Genomic DNA, 19,535 nt, shown 5'->3' with positions numbered 1-19,535 from the left:
TGGAAAAGTTACTTAACTTCTCTGAGCCCTGTTTTCCTCATGTGTAAATGAGAAAATAATACTTATATCATGGTCATTGTCAGGACTAAATGCTATAATGTATTAAGTTGTTAATATATAGACTACCGCATGGTAGATACTAATGGTAGCTTTATTAATAATAATATTAGTATTATAAAATATGCTAACACACTTATTATCAACCTCCCAACTTGAACTGTAATCTCTCGACATAGTAACTACTGTAAGCTTATTAGACAAGCAACCAATATTTTTTAAAGCACTTACTCTATGCCAGGCTCTAGGATGTGATATGCATATAAAGCATCACAGAATTTCAACAGCCAAGACAAAGGCATATAGTATACGTTTTGAAACACGTGTCTTCATAGAAATGAACTCTATGTAAGACAAATAGTAACTAACATTAAGTATTAATTTATCACTAAGATTCGCCTAGCAAATCTTCACTTATTAAATAATATAAATTAAGGCAAGATTTAAAGAAATAACACATATATGATTAAAATCTAATACCCTCCTTACTAAGCACCTAAGAAAAATAATTCCGATATTTTACATTATATTATATTATATTCAATAATTCCTACCGAACCTAATCCTGCTGGAAAAGCTGACCACATATTGGGAGAAGAATTGGGGGAGTCTTTCCAAGAATTGCAGGTCACTTGTATTCTTGAACCGACGGTGGTTTTGGGCTGCCTCCCACTGAAGTTGGAGGAAAGCTTGGGACCAAAAGTCTTCATGTTGCACTTAGATGCAGTCCTTGCTTCTCTCACTAGCAGGACAGATTGTATGCAATCAATCTCCAGCATTTCCAAGTTAAGGCCAAATTGCCCTTTCAATATCGAAGCCCCCTGCAATAAGCAAGAAAGAACAAAATGATCTAGATGGATCCTTATCCTGAGTCCCATGGCTGCCGTTTACACTGTGGGCTTCTCTGGGATGTCTCTTGATTCTTAAGATGCTCTAACTCCCATTTCTTAAACAGAGTTGGACACGAACCTTTTTGAACTTTTTTTTTTTTTTTGAGACGGAGTCTCACTCTGTCGCCCAGGCTGGGGTGCAATGGCATGGTCTCAGCTCACTGCAACCTCTGCTTCCCAGTTTCGAGTGATTCTCCTGCCTCAGACTCCCAAGTAATGAACGCTTTGCAGAACTGACATTGTTAAGGAATGGGTTGTTCTACATAAATGAAATTTACAGATAACTCAAAGTAATCCCTTTAAGTATCAATGAGTATTTAACTAATTTAAAATGGAAATAGTCATATGTGTTTCAATTATTGATTAATAATTAATACAGACTACAATCTACTACATGCTGGGAACTGTAATAGGCATTTTCAAATATTTTATTGTTCTCATAAATAACAGGTTAGGTAGATAATATAATCTTAGAGACAAAGAAACTGAGTCTTAAAAAGGCCAAGTAACCGTCCAAAGCTACTACTTGGAGGAAGAGCTGAGATTTCCCTCCAAATCCAGAGAACTTTTCAGAGTTCCACACTGAGATATCACAGTGTGACTATGGACTGGAAAGCTGTAGTAGAAGGCTGTCAGCCTTTCATGTAGAGTAGATAAAATGCACTCTGCAGAATATTCACAAGGTCTTCTCCTATGGAAGGTCAAATACGTTTTGTATAAGACAGTTGTTCTGAACACTCAGAAGTCACAGAAGGTTTAGTTCATGAAGCTTCCCTGATCCCCGGAGCCAGAAATTATGTCTTTTTTTCCTCAGAACGTCCATAGCACTTCGATTGGACCTGGAACACATTTCTACAGTGATTAGTATTTGCATTGTTTTTATGTGCATTATTTTTCCTTGTTATCTCATCTCATCTTTCTTACTAGTCTGTAAATTTCTTAGGGGCAGAGACTGTGTCAAATTCATCAAATATCATTTGCAGCATCTAGCCTAATACATAGAAAGTTCTATGTATTAGGAACTTTCTTATATATAGAAAGTTCCTGAACGATTTATTTCATAGATGAATGGACTACAAAAGCAGTTACCTAAGGATGTGTCTGCTCATGGTCCTTTGCCAAAAGCAAGAAAAGCAGTTTGATCCAAAAAGCTGGTGTGGGGGAACCATCGATAGGCCCTGCTCACTCACCCTCTGTCCTCTTTCAGGAGTGGCTCTGCCCTGGCCCAACTCTATGGAACCTCTGCTACCTTGGAGCATCACCATTTCAACCACGCCGTGATGATCCTTCAAAGTGAGGTACAGGCCTGATGTTCTGCTTCTCCCCTTAACAGAAACCAAAACAACTCTTTGTTTCCTCCCTCTCTTCCTTTGTGGTGCCACAGGTAGACACAAAGCAGTGGGAAAACCATTTCTAAGTCAACTTAATGGGCCTTAGTAGCTTTTTCTGTTCCTATAGATGCCTGAGCAGGACCTTGCAGAGTCTTCCTGAGCTGATTTACTTGGATTTCATTATTGGTTAGGAGGCTTTTCAGATTCACTTAGCAGGGTAACAGATATAGACTGCTTGTCACCAGAGCATGACCTGACCTTCCTCAAAGGATACAGAGCACTAAGGGAACAACTTGATCCAAATAATGAGCGGCCCAACATTCCCATTTGGTAAAACTCTCAGTCATTTTAAAAGATGGTAGAAGCAAAAACAGAGTGAGAAAGTTACACTTCATTAGCACAATTGAGAAACTATACAACTTAAAAGAACTTAAAATTGCTGGTGGGACCAGTTAGGAAGTGAGAACTGCAGCTAAACTTAAGACCCAGAGCTAATGCCATATGCCTGATTTTGCTTCATGTGGCAATGCAGGAGTTAGAAGTAGTTGGAATTTTATACTTTTAGCTCTCCACAGAGAAAAACAGAAACCACTAACTGAGTCTGGCTGCGGCATCTGAGTTTTAAATTGCCAGGAAAGGATCTGTTTCATTTTCTGCAAGCGTACAGACTTTTTTTTTTTTTTTTGAGGCCAGGAAGGGATCATCTGTTCCCCATTATTTGTCAGTTCTCTAGCTGTGCCATTAATTATTATTATTATTATCATCATTAAGGCCCTGCTTCACTAGAATAGCATCATTAAATATGGAGGTTTTTTACCTCCAGCCTATCTTGAGAAAGCATGTCTTTTGCAATATCATGGAGGCCTTCGACCCCATAAAGGAGAGTTGGCACTCCAGAACCTGAATGCAGACTGCGAAAGGGAAAACCTGCTGGGAATGATGTATTTTCAGTTGGGAATTAAACACCAAGAGTTAGGCTCTCAGTAACTGGCAGAAGCCAGCATCCTGGCCTCTGTGGCTGTGGAATTGCCCTCCAAAAACAGTGTCTTAGCTGAGAACTATGGAAGAACTTTGGTTCAAACTATCTTTTCTGTGTTGGTAAAGGTGATGAGTATACACCTCTGACAAACCACCACCTTTGTAATAACAAGTATTATAAACAGGATGTCAGGTTTCCTCAGGGAAACAAACCCCACTCACTCAGAATTTGTGTTCATGCAAACAAAACACATTGGCCGTCCTTCACTCTGGGGTTCCCTATGAAGAACAGAGACTATCAATGACGGAACCATGCACTGTCCCAGCACTGCCTCCAGTCCCCTGTGGTCCTGCCCATCAGAAAGGCAGAAATGCAGGTGCTATTATTGTTCCACTTTCCAAATGAGCTCTGGTGCAGAGAAGTTAGATAGCTTGAGGAAGTTTGCCCAGACCTTTCTTCCTCCAGATCTGCATGTCTTTCCATTAACACCACACTCACCACCTCCCTAAACAAAGAGTAGATGCAGTATTTCAGGGAGACTCAAATCTACTTCAGGGACCAAAACGTTAAGGCACATAACGTGAAAATAGAAGACTAATTTGCATATAAACAATAAACTGATTGCAAATTAACTTTTTCTGGCTAGCACTGTCACTCTTAGCTGTAAATAGCATTAGTGATTATATATCCTTCAAAGTACAGTCACATGCAACATGTTTTGATCAACAAGAGACCACATTGGTGCGACGGTGGTCCCATAAGATTATAATGCCATATTTTTACTGTACCTTTTCTATGTTTAAATAGGTTTAGATATACAAATACCAACCATTGCGTTACAGTTGCTCACAGTGTTACAGACAGTAATATGATGTATGGATGTATAGCCTAGAAGCAATAGGCTATCCCATATAGCCTAGGTATGCAGTAGGCTGTATCATCTAGTTTTGTGTAAGTGCTTTCTGTGATGTTCACACAATGAGGAGATCACCTAACAATGTATTTCTTGGAATGTACCCTCCTGTTATGTGATGCATGACTGTAATAAAACACACATCCTCATAAAATAATCCACATCCTCAAATTCAGACCAGATTTCTTCATATCTCAATGTTAACTTTTACTGTAACTTGCTCTTAAATGCTGTGTTTCTTTGGGAGATTCTGGGTGCATCGCTGGACCCAGGTGACTGCTTTTCCATAGCTTCCTACCACTTTTTCTCTGGCCCCAGAACACCTGCCTGTGATTGATCATTGGGTAATGCACAGGCAAAAAAACCTGGGCAGAATTATGGTGCAGCATTCCTTTCGTTATTTGTCTTCTTCTTAACAGCTGAATTAAGGGTCTGAAGAGCTCATTTGAAAATTATTATTAATATTGGACCTGGTCCCAGGTAGAACCAATATACTCTAGTCTTTAAGGAGTGGCGGGTTCACCCAATGAAATAAATTAACTTGGGGAAACAGATAATCATCTGGTGCCTGGTAAGACGTAATTTGCTAGTTGATATCCTAGTTCCCTGAAATAATTAATTTACCTCTCACTGGAGAATGGTTCATTCTCAGGCAGTCATTCCACCACATTCCTTCTCCAGCATCTTCCGGCTCTCAACACGAGATTTAAAACTGGTCCAGTTCCCAGGCCAGATGCTCATGAGTTCATATTTCACACTAAGAAAACCTAAAAAATGAAAAGTCCTGACTTTAAAAACAAACTAAGTGAATTGTTGGTCACTTTACAGAAGGATTTTTCACTTTACTAAAGACAAATATTTTAGCCTAAGTGTAGCTAACACAAATTTTGATGAAAACAAGGGTACCTGTCAAAGGTATGAGGATAAAGATGTCATCCTAACTTTACTTAGGTAAACGTCATTTTAGAGTCCCACTGTGCCAAGAACGATGTCTTATGCATCCTAGCTATTCAGAATTATTCATATTCACCATACTGAATTTAGCCTGCCACACACTTCATCAAAGTGCACCTTAATGGTGGGAGGCACGGTTCCTCCGCTTCAGCAGCAGTGACGTGTTGGGCCAGTAAATCTTTGTTGTGGGGGTCTCCTGTGCATCATGGGATGTGTAGCAGCATCCCTGGCCTCCACTGCTAGATGCCAGTAGCACCTTAGCCATTTGTGACAATCAAAAATGTCACTAGACCTTGCTAAAGTTCCCCATTGTCAAAACGGCCCCCAGCTGAGAACCACTGTTCTAATGGCTTTTTATTCTTCTTAAAGTCATTTGTTGCCATAGCAAGTGTTTCCAAAATGCCAGCTTAAACCTTCACTGGTAGTGAAAATAGCATTTATTTTAGGGGGAGAAATGTTCCCAAATGTTTCACAAACTTCTCCTCTAAGTAATTCCATAGGAAATGGGTAGTCAGATGGAATTGTGGGCACAACATATTCATAGTAAGATAAGTTCCAACAATTTCAGATTTTCCCTTTGAGACTAAGCATGTAACAAAGTGTCCCTTGTTAGACTTTGTCAAAAATGACTGCATTCTGGCTTTGCTAGGTTTGCCAGAGAATCTGTTTATATTTATACAAAATTTCACTATGCTTTTTAAAAAGTGATTTTTTTAATGTTCCCAGACTTTTTTTTAAATAGAGGAAAAACATGTAATCAACAACCACAGATTTAATGTCTTTTGTGACTTTTTACTTTCTCATTACAGGGTCACAATATCTTTGCTAACCTGTCCTCCAAGGAATATAGTGACCTTATGCAGCTTTTGAAGCAGTCAATATTGGCAACAGACCTCACGCTGTACTTTGAGTAGGTATTGGCATTTGATCTGTTTGACAAATGGAAGTTCCATCCTGTAACTAATCTCCAGGTCTACACTGGAGGTTACCTGTTATTCTAGCATTGATATCAATGTGTAAACCAGCTAAACTTTTTTTGTTGTTGTTTCTCTCTGATATAAATGAAGTCCATTAAAGTGGTGTGTATAAGCCAAGAGAGTCAGGACTACAGTCACAAGATTTCTATTTTTCTTCTGTTTTATGAGCTTGTTTGACACACAACTCTGAAACTAAGTGATGGCCATTTTTATCTTAGATCCTAGCTAATATTGCTATTTAAGACTGTTAACTTCTGGTCAGCTGTATAATGGCATTGATAACGAAGATGAAAAATATTCAGTGATGGAAAATTAACTAGCAATGCAACAGTTCATTCCTTGATTCTTTTCTATCTCTTTCTTAGAAGGGCTTTCTCTCCTTTTCACCAAAGTTCAGGCCTTTCTCTAAGCTGGAAATTGCACCCTCCCATTTCCAGTGGGACCTGCTCTATCAGGCGCCATCTCTCTTAGCAGCCTGGAAATTTCTTCCACCACTCATTTGCACAATTTTCTCCTATCTTAAAGACCAAAGCCTGTCACTCCCTTAAAAAAATTTTTCATTTGACCCCATGGAGATCTTTAATTGCTTTTTTATTTACCTTTCTTTTACTGTCTACCTTTTTAAATAAACAGAGCACATTTAGTACCTCTATTTTCCTAACACCCATTTACACCGTGAAGAGCAGAGTCCATCTCCGCACTCTATCAAAATTGTACACTCAGAGGTCACCAGAGACATTTCTTTCCTCAAATTCAATGGCCTGTACTCATTTTTGATAGTTTCCATCTTCTCTGAGATATCTGAAGGTTTAGTTAGTTATTATTAATTTCTACTCTCCTTGCTTGCCCAATCTCCAGCTGCCTTTCTCTCTTCTTTTCTAGATCCTTGGCAGGTTTCTTTTCTCCTTGCTCCTGTGTATAAGCTCTTGAAACATGTTCTTCTTTCTCTACTCAGACCACTCCCCTGGCCTCATTTCTATGTTACCTATATTTATGTTATGACCTGTGTGTAGAAGACTCTGAAATTCTTCACTCCAAACTTCCTCACACTGTAGACCTCCAGCTTCCATCTCAAAAACCTTCAGTGTCCACATTGCTTTCAAAGGAAGTTCTAAACTTGGTTTGACTTTCAAGGCCCTCTATAATCTGCCCCCAACCTTTTTTCATTCTTACCTTCCACTTCTCCCCTACATGATTGGTCTACGTCAACCAGACTAGTCTACGCATTACCCTTTGGAACACCCTGTGTAATGCCCCCTGTGCCCTGATGTATCACCATTCCCACATCGAATCCTGTTCCTCCACTCGCCATCTTCCTGACTGACCATCCTTTAAGATCTGTCTCTTCTGTCACTTTTTCTAGGAAGTCTTGTGCCATTCGCTTTGAAATGACTCCCTTTGAAAAGCACTGTGGCATTGCATCAGTTAGAATTAGGTTCAATTGTAAGGGATGTTCAAAGCTTAAGACACGAAAAGCTCAAAGAGATTGCTAGAAAATCAGTATATAGAATGCTTAGCACCCAGGAAGTCCTCTACTAACACAGCCAGGTCACTCCCCTTATTCTACCTTTAGAAGGCCAGAAATGTATCCTCTGGAGAAATAAAATGAAGAGCTCTGAACTGAGGAGAGGCACAGGGTGGGAATGAGATACAGTGCTCAGAAGAAGAGATTAAGTTAAGTGGAACCAGTCTCTGGATTGAAAACCTGTAGGCCATAGCCAAGCACTTAGAAGCTAGGAGTCTATAAGCCATACACCCAGGGTTGTCAGATTTAGCAAGTAGAAGTACAGAAAGTCCAGTTACATTTAAATTTCAGATAAACAATAAATACTTTTTTAGAATAGATAGTTAGATGTCCCATGAAACATTTGGGACATATTTATACTAAAAATTATTTTTTGTATATTTCAGAATAGCTACAAGAGAGGACTTGAAATGTTCCTAACAAATAGAAATGATAAATATTCAAGGTGACAGATATCCTAAATACCCTTACTTGATCATGGCACATTCTGTGCATGTAACAAAATGTCATATGTACCCAATAAATATGTATAAATATTATGTATCAATAAAATATTTTTAAAATAATTATTTTTAACGGAAACAAATTATTTTATCTAGCAATTATACCCCTCCCCCCCCACACACAACTCCCATTTAGCTTTTTAATACCTTACTATTACATGCAGAAAACCAAGAATCACAGAACATTTTTTCAGCATCCGATAGGAAAGACAGAGGCCAAACAAACAGAAAAAAAAAATGAAATTCAGAGAAAACAGGGAGAGGAAGAAAACAAAACTAAAAACTGTTGTTAGAATTCTCAGAGAGCTAAGATATTGCATCCATGAAACAAGAACAGGATGCTTTTTAAAAATAGTAGTAGGAGCAACTATGAAAAAGAAGGCACTTTCAAAAATTAAGAACATGATAGCCAAAATAAAAAAAATCAAATGAAAGCATTAGGAAACACAGGCCAAGGACAAAAGCCAGCAAAATAGAAAACACTGCTATATTTCATTGTATCTCTTTTAGTACTATTTGATTTGTTAACTATGTTCATGTATTACTTTGATAAATATAATTTTAATTAGTTTAAAATATATACTTAAAAATTAAAATCCCAGCTCTGCCACTAATTAGCTGTGTGTCATCAGATAAATTATTTACTTCTCTGAGCCTTTCTTTCAAGTATAAAATGGAGATAACAGTACCTATGTCATGTCTTAGAAATGGTGACATCTACAACCTCATTTGCTTTATAACCTATTTATTTTGCATGTTTTGTGGCCCTTTGGTTGACTTAAATATCATGATCTTTCATCTATTTTCTGGATTAATGCTCCTTGATTTGGGATTTATGGAAAGTCTGTATCCTTTTAATGTTTTATTGCCTGTCCCTGACACTTGCAGGATCTTGTGTTATTTTCCTCAAAGTAGAAGAATTTTCCCAAGCCATCTTTCCAAGTAACTTCTAAAGAGAGAAAAAAAAATATCAACACTCAGAGTCCATTTATCAAGCTCTGTTAGGGATTTGACGAATCACTGAGTGACCACTGGCATGCAGTCAACGAAGTTGGTTGCAACTCGTTTTCTCATTACTCTGTTCTTATCTTAATGCTGCAGCCCCTGCTAATGTTTGCTGACTCCCAAAGAAGCTGGCTTGTTCTCTTTTCATCAGCATTATTGTTTTTTGAGGTTCTGAATAGCTGCCCATTCTCTAATCTAGACTTTCAGAGGATTGATTCACTTGCCTGTCTAAAGTTGCATTAAAATATTGCCATATTTTTAGCCAGAACAATCCCTAGAGTTATAATGAGAGGGAAAGCAGCTACTACAAACTGTCGCCCCGATGTTTTTATTTAATAAATGTGCAATTGTGGAATCGGAAGGATCTTAGAAATGATGCAATCCAATTCATCTCCTTTTTTGCTGATCAGGCACAGAGGTCCAAATGGTTAAATAGCGTAGCTTAGGTCACATAACTCATTATTGGTAAAACTGGAACCCACACCTCCTCTTTCAGGGCTTTTTCTTCAATCACCATGCTTCCCTCTCTAATGGAAGAATCAAGAAATCATTGTCATTTTAATTGGGGATATATTATGTGATAATGTTGACTCTTTCCAGGTGTTCTGTAATCAGTTTAAACACTAGCTTGAGGCCCCTGTGTCCTCTCCCAAAGCAAAGTTGGAGATAAAGGCTTGCATTCAGGTAGTTTAGTTTTGGAAATGACACCAAGAATAAGAGTGAGGGGCTGGGACAGTGAAATGGGGAAGGAGGGAAGCCAGTGAAAGGAAGGACACATTTCTTTGTTGTTCTCCACTATGGTCAGCCAGTCTTGATCCTGCAGGGACCATCTGAGAAGTCTCATATATCGCACTTCAAAATTGTCCGCCACCCACCATCCTCATCAACCAAATGTTGATCTGTGGGATGTTAACTCTCATGTACTTCCATGTTGTGTGTGCCTGATGACTGGGCATTCCTGCAGCTGTCTCATCCCTGTTCTCACACATGAAGTCATGTGTGAAGTGCCAGGGCAGAAAGTATGTGATCCGCAGGACCGCTGAGGCACTGCGTGTAGCAGCAATGGCAGGAGAGGGGTGGGTGAGCCAAGAGGATATTAGGCTCCCCGTACAATTAGTTTCTGGAAGTCTGGATTATTGTTGGTTCTTCTGCCCTGACTACTCAACCTAAAAGTCATGATACAGTTGAAGAAACCAAAAAGGAAGCTCACTGCTTTCCTCCCCTAGAGGGAGAAAGTCACTCTAGGAAAGGGCCAGGCTGGGCAGGGTAGAGCCCTGCCTTTTGGAGACAGGTTTCTGACTCATTCCTAGAGGCAAGATTTCTTGCCATGCTCTAAAAGGAAAAAAATATATGAGATTCATGGAAATGTGGAAAGGCTTTCAAAACATCCACAAAAACTTATGACTTTAATTTCTAAAGACCTTGTGTGTCCTTGGGATTCTATGTCATTCAAATGGCATATGAAAGCAGAATTCACAAGATTAAAATACAAAAACAAACAAAATCCTTAATGTGAATTTCTAAGTTTCACAACCTGAGCCTGGGGGTTAATGATTCACTCTGATTTTCCAACTCACTGAAAACGTTTTCCAGTTACTGCTGAGCAACTTTCTGAAATGATTTCTGTGCCTGTTTCTGAGTCCCTGCAGTGAATAAGGATTTGATAATTAAGTAGTAATTTCACCAGCTTTGAGAGTCGGATCTCTCTTTGCCTCAGTTTCCTTGTCAGCAACAGGGGTATAGGCATATCACCCATTCTAATCTCCTAGGATCCTTGTGGCAGTGAAAAGAGATTAATTTTATGAAAGAGCTTTGACAATGTAAAGTACCTTATAAAAAAAGGAATCACTCAGCCAGAAAACTTAATAAAACATGCACCATAAAAGATGATGCTTGTTGGAGTGGGCAGAGAGATCTAAAATTACAAATGTTATAACTTCAAAGGGATGATACAAATGCCCTGTACTATTTATCTGCATGTAAATCAACAAAGATGACCTATGCACCTTCCACTATTAGTAATAAAAACAACAACTAATACTTTTTGAGTGCTTACTTAGGACCTTTATATATACATTATGCCATTCAACAGTGAAAGCAGTCCTATTAAAATAGGTACTATTATTAATGTCAACCTAAAAGAAAGAAACTGTGGCAAAATTAATATAAGTAGAGAGTTTATTTGAGCCAAGATTGAGGACTGCAACCCCGGAGCATGGATTCAAGTTGCCTTAAATATACAGTCCAATTAGCAGCAGTTACAAGTGGATTTTCAAAAGGAAAGGAAAGGTATTTTCTACATTGTTTACCAAGAATTTACATTAACATAACATAAGCTATTGATTGGCTTTGTTACATTGTCTCTTGTATCACAAATTCTAGGAACATGAAGATAGTGGGTGAGGTAGCTAGTCAGAAACAAAATGACTTTCAACAGTGGCCCCCAAGCATGGGTTAGGGGAGTGGGGAGCGTGACTGAAGTCCCATACTCATTACTCTCTGGGCCTTCAAGGAGCTCAGACTGCTCTGAGCTGTTTTTTCTTTTCTCATTAACCCCACAGTACACATGAGGAAACTGAGGTTTGGAGTGATTCAGTAAATTGCTCACAATATTAAATAGTATATCTGGAATTTGAACCAAGTAGTTGGACTCCAAAATGTTCTTAGTTACTCTGCAGTTATATAGCAGTCCAAGAGTACTCAAGGGGAAACTGGGGCCAATCCAGGAAACATTTGGGCATTAGAAACAGCAGAAATTTGAGGATGCAAATGTCTAAAGCTAGTTCCAAACACACTTTGTGTTAGCATGCTAAGTGTTAGCAATTCAGCTAATGCCAGGCCCCACCACTGGGAGTGCAGGGTGGATGTGGAGGCTCCAAGTCAGTGATACTCGGACCCAGTCTGGTGGGGCTAAGACTGCAATTAGAGGCTTCTTGTGTGAAGTTGAGCTAAGTTGGTGCACCAGGGGTTGAAAATTCTGTAGCTTTAATACAGTCACAGGGGTTGTTGCTATTGGGTAGCAATAAACAGTTTAGCACTGATCCTCAACAGGTTGTGATTACATAACGCTATATCTCATCCTCTAGGTGCCTGCTCCATGCCCAGCACCATTCTAGGCATTACAGTATCTTCCTGTATCAGCACTGAAATGGAAGCTCTATGAATGCAGACACCTTACTCTTTAGCTCACTCTTGGAACCCACAAAACCTGACACACTGCCTGACATAATGAGTTCTCAAAATAACTTTTTGATACTGAATTATCATATCAATGTGCAAGGTAGATATTGTTAGCCCCATCTGATAAATAGGGAAAACTGGGCTTATAGAGGTTGAGTAATTTGTCCAAAGTCACTAAGTTGTCTGTGATCAGTTCTCCATGACACAATGCCTCAGAGCATGATTTAAGCAAATAATTTTCCAATAATTCAGATAAATCCACTTGGGTGCTCAATGCTTTTAAGATCGGCTTCCTAAATTAATCAGACTTATCTTCAAATTGAAAATTTGCCACCTCTCTTTGTGATCTACACTCATCAGCAATTATGGAAAATGCCCAGTCTGATGGTTTCTTTGTATTTGTCTCTCGAAAGGGATGCAGTAAATAGCATTTCTCGAAAGCATCTGATGATGACAGAAAAATGCACTAAACTATTTTAAATTGTTCAATGTGATAGTTTGACCAATTCTTTTAAAAATTAGATTAATATCTAGACAATTCATTTAAAAAAATTACAGTGGGAACTCAACAAATGTTTCTACTGCTAGGCAAACATTCATTCATCATTCAACAAAAGTTTATTAAAAGCCAGCTATGTTCAGTGTCCTCAACTTCCACAGTTGCCTGCGCTCAACCAACCCCATACTGGAAAGGATGAAAGTAAACTGATTAGTAATAAGGTGTTAATGACTGACAAAACTTAAGCCATTACTCTATCCCAAACATTATTATATTTTAACAGAGCCTGATGACTTAACTCATTGAAATTATATATTATTATAACATTAGGTCAGCAGCCCCTGTAGTAGGTTGATGGAGGAAATATTTTGGTAATTCTTGACATATTTCAAAGAATTTTTCCATATACTCATTCCATATCCCCATCCATATGATATCAAAACTGACTAAAAAATGAGAAATGTAGCCAAATAGCACTTCTTAATGGTTTCTTTGTGCCAGGCACTGTGCTAGTTGCTGGTAATGTACAAGCAGATAGGACACGGTTCTTACCTTCAGGGACTCAGAGCCCAGTGGGGAAGAGAGAAGGCAGCAACATCTAGCAGCGAAGGGCTGTGTGGAAGTGAATGCAGGAGCAGCTGGAGTGCGCTCCTTCTAGCCATGGCTTACACAGCTTCTTTGCCTGGTGATTGTGGTTTGAATGAACTGACTGCTGGGGCCTTGTGGTCTCTAATCTTCTGCCATTTTCAACATCTAGAGTAATTCTTATCTCTACTTCCTGCATTTTGCCGGTTTTATTTGTGCCATCAACAAAAGCACAGCATCAAACAAGTCATTCACTCAGGTTCTTGGCAGGCCCTTGTATTATCAGTGCTAGTCTGAAGCAGGGAGAAAGTTCACTTCAAAATTAAATAGAACACTTTTTTTCTTTAGTCATAATAACTGGAGTTAACATCTGTATATTAATTTTCTATTCCTCTTCAATGTTTGTATGCAAAGAAAGTCCAGAAATCTCTCTAGAATCTGCATGTAACAATTAATTGCAGATGTATGATTTGCCTGTTGAGCAAGCTGTAAGAAGACCAAAAGCACCCACTCACCGCATCCACACATCTGTGCACCCTGCAACCCCTGCCTGACAACTCTGGAGTTAAAATTGAGGAGAGTTACAGGCCGGGGACAGTGGCTCACGCCTGTAATCCCAGCACTTTGGGAGAACAAGGCAGGTGGATCACCTGAGGTCAGGAGTTCGAGACTAGCCTGACCAACATGGAGAAACCCCGTCTCTACTAAAAATACAAAATTAGCTGGGCGTGGTGGTGCATGCCTGTAATCCCAGCTACTCAGGAGGCTGAGGCAGGAGAATCTCTTGAACCCGAGAGGAGGAGGTTGCGGTGAGCCGAGATCACGCCATTGCACTCCAGCCTGGGCAACAAGAGTGAAACTCCATCTCAAATAAAAAAACAAAAAGAAAGAAATTGAGGAGAGTTACAGTGATGATTTGCCACCTCAGCAGTAAAACCTTCCTAATGTTTATGGACTTTCAGTAGATTCAAAGGAGTTAGATGAATAGATAAAGAATATATATTCCTAAGTACATGTATAGATACATAAATTTGCAAAAAATTTCATGATTAAAATGTTCACAGAAATGGTGATTTCTCACTTTACAAATAAAAGATGCCTTGCAGATAAATTACAAACCAGAAAGTTTTTCAATGTGGTGATGGGTGACTGGTAACCAATCTTTAGAATTATTTTTGAAGGTAATTTTAGCCGTTCTGTTCAAATGATGCTTTTTTAAAGACTGCTATTTTTCTGAGTGGGACATATGTCAGGCGAGCAGGATGAAAGCCTAATAAAAACATATCTGATTATAAATGAGATTTTCCAGTAAGTTGCTTTTCACTAGCTGAGGTACTTGCCATTGTCCTTGAAAACCAAGGTTCCCCATGATCTGCGTGAGAAGTTAATGATACAGTTCCTCATGACAAAGAAGTCTGGATCCAGCGGGTATTGGGTATTTTTGTGGATTTTCAAATATTCTTTTTAGCAGCCTCATGCTTCTAAAAATGCCCCTGTTTCTAACAGTTTCACATATGTTCATGCTGTTTACTCTGTTTAATCTATATACACATGTACATTTAGATGCTAACAGAACAGCTGTATAGGCAAACTTGTTCCCAAAAGCACAGTGAATTTCACATTGTTACTTTGTAATGATTATTACTAGGGAGAAGGTCAGAAATACATCACCTGGAGCTGTGAACCACCAACCTGGCACAAGCAATCTGCAGCTCTTCTTTGGAGCACCCCCTTATTGATGATGGAAAGAACCCTGTCTGTGTCTGCCTTGATACTTGGTATTGCCTTGGTACAGCAGCCTGTGATGCTGTTACATAGCATGAGGGCTGCTGGCCCCACTGTCCATACACTTACAACATGAAAAGCTATCTGGCCCAAAGGTTTATGCTACACATAGTTTACAAAGATTATCTCAGAGGGCAGAACCGGGAGGCTGGGGACTTATAATCTACCCAGAAGGAAAAGTTCTTCCTTATAGAAGATTTCAATTAACACACATGGAAAGGTGGAAATGGAAAAATCATCAGCTGGCAAATACCACGGTAGTAATTTTTATTGGCAACAATAAATCTTTCTGTAACTGCCCTGGGACCTTGAACAAGTCACTTCACCTTCCTTCACCTTGAGTTTCCTCACCTATAAAATGAGAGAATTAATAGGAGATTTTTCTCAAAAGTTCCATACAGCCCTACCAGTCTATAACTATAATGAAAATTCAAACATAGAAAAGAAGTCATTCTATGACCCAGCAATTTTACATATACATGTACATATTCATATACACAGAGAGAGAGAACTCACACAAATTCACAAGGAAACATGTACAAGGTGGTTCATAGCTGCATTGTATGTAATAGCAAGAAATATTAGAAAAATATAAATTTTCATCTTCCAGGAAATGGGTAAATAGACAGTGGTATAATAATAGATGGAAATAGCATACATCAGTATGAAGGAATGGCCTAGAATTATATATAACAACATGGGTAACTCTCGCAAGCATTGAATGGAAAAAGCAAGTTGCCAGAGAATACATACACTATGATGACCGTATTTGTATAAACTTTTAAAACACATAGAGCAATATTATACAAAATTTGCCTAGTAAAATTATAAGGATATATGTGATGATGCTTTATACACAATTTAGAAAATGGTCATTGTATGGTGAGTGGGAAGAAGACAGAAGCAACAGTTGGGAGGTGCACAGGGCCTCAACAGGACTGGCAGAGACTTACTTCTAGGCAGGGAGGTAGATGGAAACTCTATGTATGTCCACTGTGTAATTTTTATACCTTTTACGTTTATTAAATATGCACAATAAATTTATTACATGATCTTGCCATATCATCACTTCAAAATCCTTTTTGTAGCCTTGTGAAAATGATTAACTCTATCTCCTGAGCTTTCAAGAAGGATTTTTTTCAGGAACTTTAAAAAAATTTAAATGTGGCCAGGCACAATGGCTCATGCCTGTAATCCCAGCACTCTGGGAGGCCGAGGTGAGTGGATTACCTGAGGTCAGGAGTTCAAGATCAGCCTGGCCAACATAGCAAAACACCATCTCTACTAAAAATTAAAAAAATTAGCTGAGCATGGTGGCAGGCACCTGTAATCCCAATTACTCAGGAGGCTGAGGCTGAGGCAGGAGAATCACTTGAACCCAGGAGGCAGAGGTTGCAGTAAGCCAAGATCGCACCATTGCATTCCAGCCTGGGCAACAAGAATGAAACTCCATCTCCAAAAAAAAAAAAAAAAAAAAAAAAAAAATTTACATGTACTTTGGTTTAAACTTTAAAATATCTCTTTGGCTATTTTATATGTGACCAAATACATTACCAGATGTGTTATACATGGTTCCACCAGTGACTACACCTTTCTTTTCCTTTTTTTTCTTTTTTGAAACAACGTCTCACTCTGTCGCCCAGGCTGGAGTGCAGTGGTGTGATCACAGCTCACTGCAGCCTTGACTTCCCAGGCTCAATCTATCCTCCCACCTCAGCCTCCCTAGCAGCTGGGACTACAGGCGTGTGCCTCCACATGTAGCTAATTTTTGTATTTTTTCTAGAGACGGAATCCCACTTTGTTGCTAAGGCTGGTCTCCAACTACTGGGATTGAGCAATCCTCCTCCCTTGGCCCCCCAAAGCACTGGGATTACAGGCGTGACCCACTATACCTGGCCTCTCATGTTTTTCTTGACAAAATTATACAAGTTGATGAGTTCCTCATGATTCCTATTATCCAGAAAGATTCCTAATCTCTCTTAAGAACATAATCAAACCTTGGGACGACAGAGTAAATAGAACTTATCACGAAGTAGCCATCCTTTTGTCTGTGAAGGAAGAATCAAATTAGCATGCTACGTTTTGATATACCCAATGAAAAGGCTCCTCTCACTGTTCCCTAGGAATACTGGATGTTCCCTTTTGTCCTAGTGTTGCTAATGTGATGTGAAGTCTATGACTGATTTTGATTCTGTTGATTTAAGACCTTCACACCAGCAACTCTAGCTGTTAAAATTTCTATCATTGGGGAATTTATTCTTATGATGCTGTTTGATTTTCATATCATAGATTTGCATTTTTTATAGAAAGGAATTTGGGCCAGCACGATGGCTCACACCTGTAATCCCAGCACTATGGGAGGCCGAGGCAGGTGGATGACCTGAGGTCTGGAGTTCGAGACTGGCCTGACCAACATGGAGAAACCCCATCTCTACTAAAAATACAAAATTAGCCAGGCCTGGTGGTGCATGCCTGTAATCCCAGCTACTTGGGAGGCTGAGGCAGAGAATCGCTTGAACCCAGGAGAACCCAGGAGGCAGATTGCGCCTCAGAACCAGTGAGCCAAGATCGCGACATTGCACTCCAGCCTACTCAACAAGAGCGAAACTCCGTCTCAAAAAAACAAAAAAAAGAGAAAAAAAGGATTTGTTTTCTGCAATGAGTTAGTCACACAGGGAACATGCTTTCACTCTGCATCAAAGATGTTATGTTCCCTATAGTGAACATACTATGGGCAGATATAACAATCGTTAGTGGAAGGTGAGTCAGATATTGGATGGAAATGGTGTTCTTACTTTCTACAACTTGTTATGTTGCCCATTTGGTTCATGTTAGAATCTACTCTGCAAGAATCTGACAGGGCTTTTCCTGAATAGATTTTGTGTTGTTTACTTACCTCAATCTCTCTCTCCAAATGGCAACTGTGAAGCCCCTAGAAAAATTAGGATCTAGGTGAAACCAGTGTTTAAAGAGTTTGTTTGTTTAATGATTAGCTTTCTAAGATAATCATTCTCATTCATTCATCAACAAATATTTATTGAGCTTCTACTACATGTCAGGCATTGTTGTAGGTATTAAGGGGCAGAAGTGAACAAAAGTGGGCCAAGCCTTTGTCCTCATGAAGCTTAATTCTAGCGATTTCTTGGAATAACTCATAGAATTGAAATGGCCACCCAGGAACATATGACAAGGAGGATGGCTGACAAACTTTCAGAAAGTCTTTCACAATCCTCCAGGATCCTCCCAGCCAAGCAAAGTGCCTTCCTCTGTGCTCCAAGGACACCCTGGATGTATCTTAGCTGCTTGGGGCAGCTGTTATTTTAACCTACTGTGTTTGTATCCCAGCTCTGCCACTCACCATCTGTGAAACCTTGAGCCAGGTACTCACCCTTCTGAGCTTAATCACAGTAACTAATCCTTACTGATAACCTAATTTTGCCAGGCAATCTGCTAAATGTTTTACATAAATCATTTCCTTTGATCCTCCCATCAACCCTACAAGGCAGATCCCATTACTATAACTCTTTTACTAATAAGAAAACTGAAGTCCAGCAAGGTTAAGTAACCTACTCAAGGTCAGTCATGTAAGTAGTGAGTGCCAGACCCCATTAAGTCTGCCAGGAACACAGTAAAGACCCAGTGAATATCATCCTCATCAGGGCTGGAACTAGGGTGAAGCAAGTGAGGTGAGTGGTTCAAGTACAAGTTCAGATCTTGTCTTTATTTAGAATTTTGTTGTTGTGTTCATTATGGATGTTTTACATTTATTTTTATTTTGTTAAATATCACATTAAAATATTTATCTTGATAACTAAGTTTTTTGGCACCCACTTCAGTTTTGTGCCCCAGGTGAGTGCCTCTCTCACATCACTCTAGTCCCAATATTATTATTCTCATTAATATTACATTTAAAGAGGGAATTACCTATTTATTTGTTGGTAGCCCTGGCTAAACTCAGAGACATTTAAAAGTAACACCCAATTATCATGTGACCGTAAAGCCTAATAAAGACTTGTTACAGAGTAGATGTTCAATAAATACTTGTTGGACTTCATAATAATTTGAAAAAAAGATGAATTTCTATGTAGTGAGAGGAGAAAACTGGGCAAACTGTTAGATCTCCATTAGTCCAGTTAGTCCAATTTGTATTATTGTTGGCAGTAATAGTATTAATATTGTTTACAAATTAACCATAGCTTCAGGTATTGAGTATCTAACAGGGCCAAATGTTTAGTGCACCTTATCTCAATTTCTCACTACAAAGCTGGAAACTAAGGCTCAGCAATGTGAAATTACTCACCCAAGATCACACAGCTAATAAGTGACAGTCAGCATTAAGCCAGGTCGGTGTG

At 39.0% G+C, this 19,535-nt stretch overlaps 1 protein-coding gene and 1 long non-coding RNA gene across 5 annotated transcripts in view; one reads left to right on the top strand and one right to left on the bottom strand.

Annotated features, from left to right (window-relative positions):
* Positions 1–19,535, top strand: part of PDE11A (phosphodiesterase 11A) — a 485,096-nt gene that overhangs the window by 404,974 nt on the left and 60,587 nt on the right. For all 4 annotated transcript variants that reach the window (NM_001077197.2, NM_016953.4, NM_001077358.2 and 1 more), the window contains 2 exons: positions 2,155–2,245; positions 5,934–6,034. In NM_001077197.2, the coding sequence (NP_001070665.1) occupies positions 2,155–2,245; positions 5,934–6,034 (192 nt within the window). The remainder of the gene's footprint in view (positions 1–2,154; positions 2,246–5,933; positions 6,035–19,535) is intronic.
* Positions 1–19,535, bottom strand: part of PDE11A-AS1 (PDE11A antisense RNA 1) — a 49,968-nt gene that overhangs the window by 19,924 nt on the left and 10,509 nt on the right. Inside the window, exons 2-4 of the long non-coding RNA NR_136171.1 lie at positions 4,795–4,937; positions 2,138–2,272; positions 617–878 (exon numbers count right to left, since the gene is read on the bottom strand). This is a non-coding gene — a long non-coding RNA (PDE11A antisense RNA 1). The remainder of the gene's footprint in view (positions 1–616; positions 879–2,137; positions 2,273–4,794; positions 4,938–19,535) is intronic.

Source organism: Homo sapiens, chromosome 2, assembly GCF_000001405.40.
Source record: "Homo sapiens chromosome 2, GRCh38.p14 Primary Assembly".
NCBI classification, from domain to species: Eukaryota; Metazoa; Chordata; class Mammalia; order Primates; family Hominidae; genus Homo; species Homo sapiens.
The sequence above is the reverse complement of the archived record's forward strand: the minus strand, read 5'-3'. Positions and strand labels throughout refer to the sequence as shown.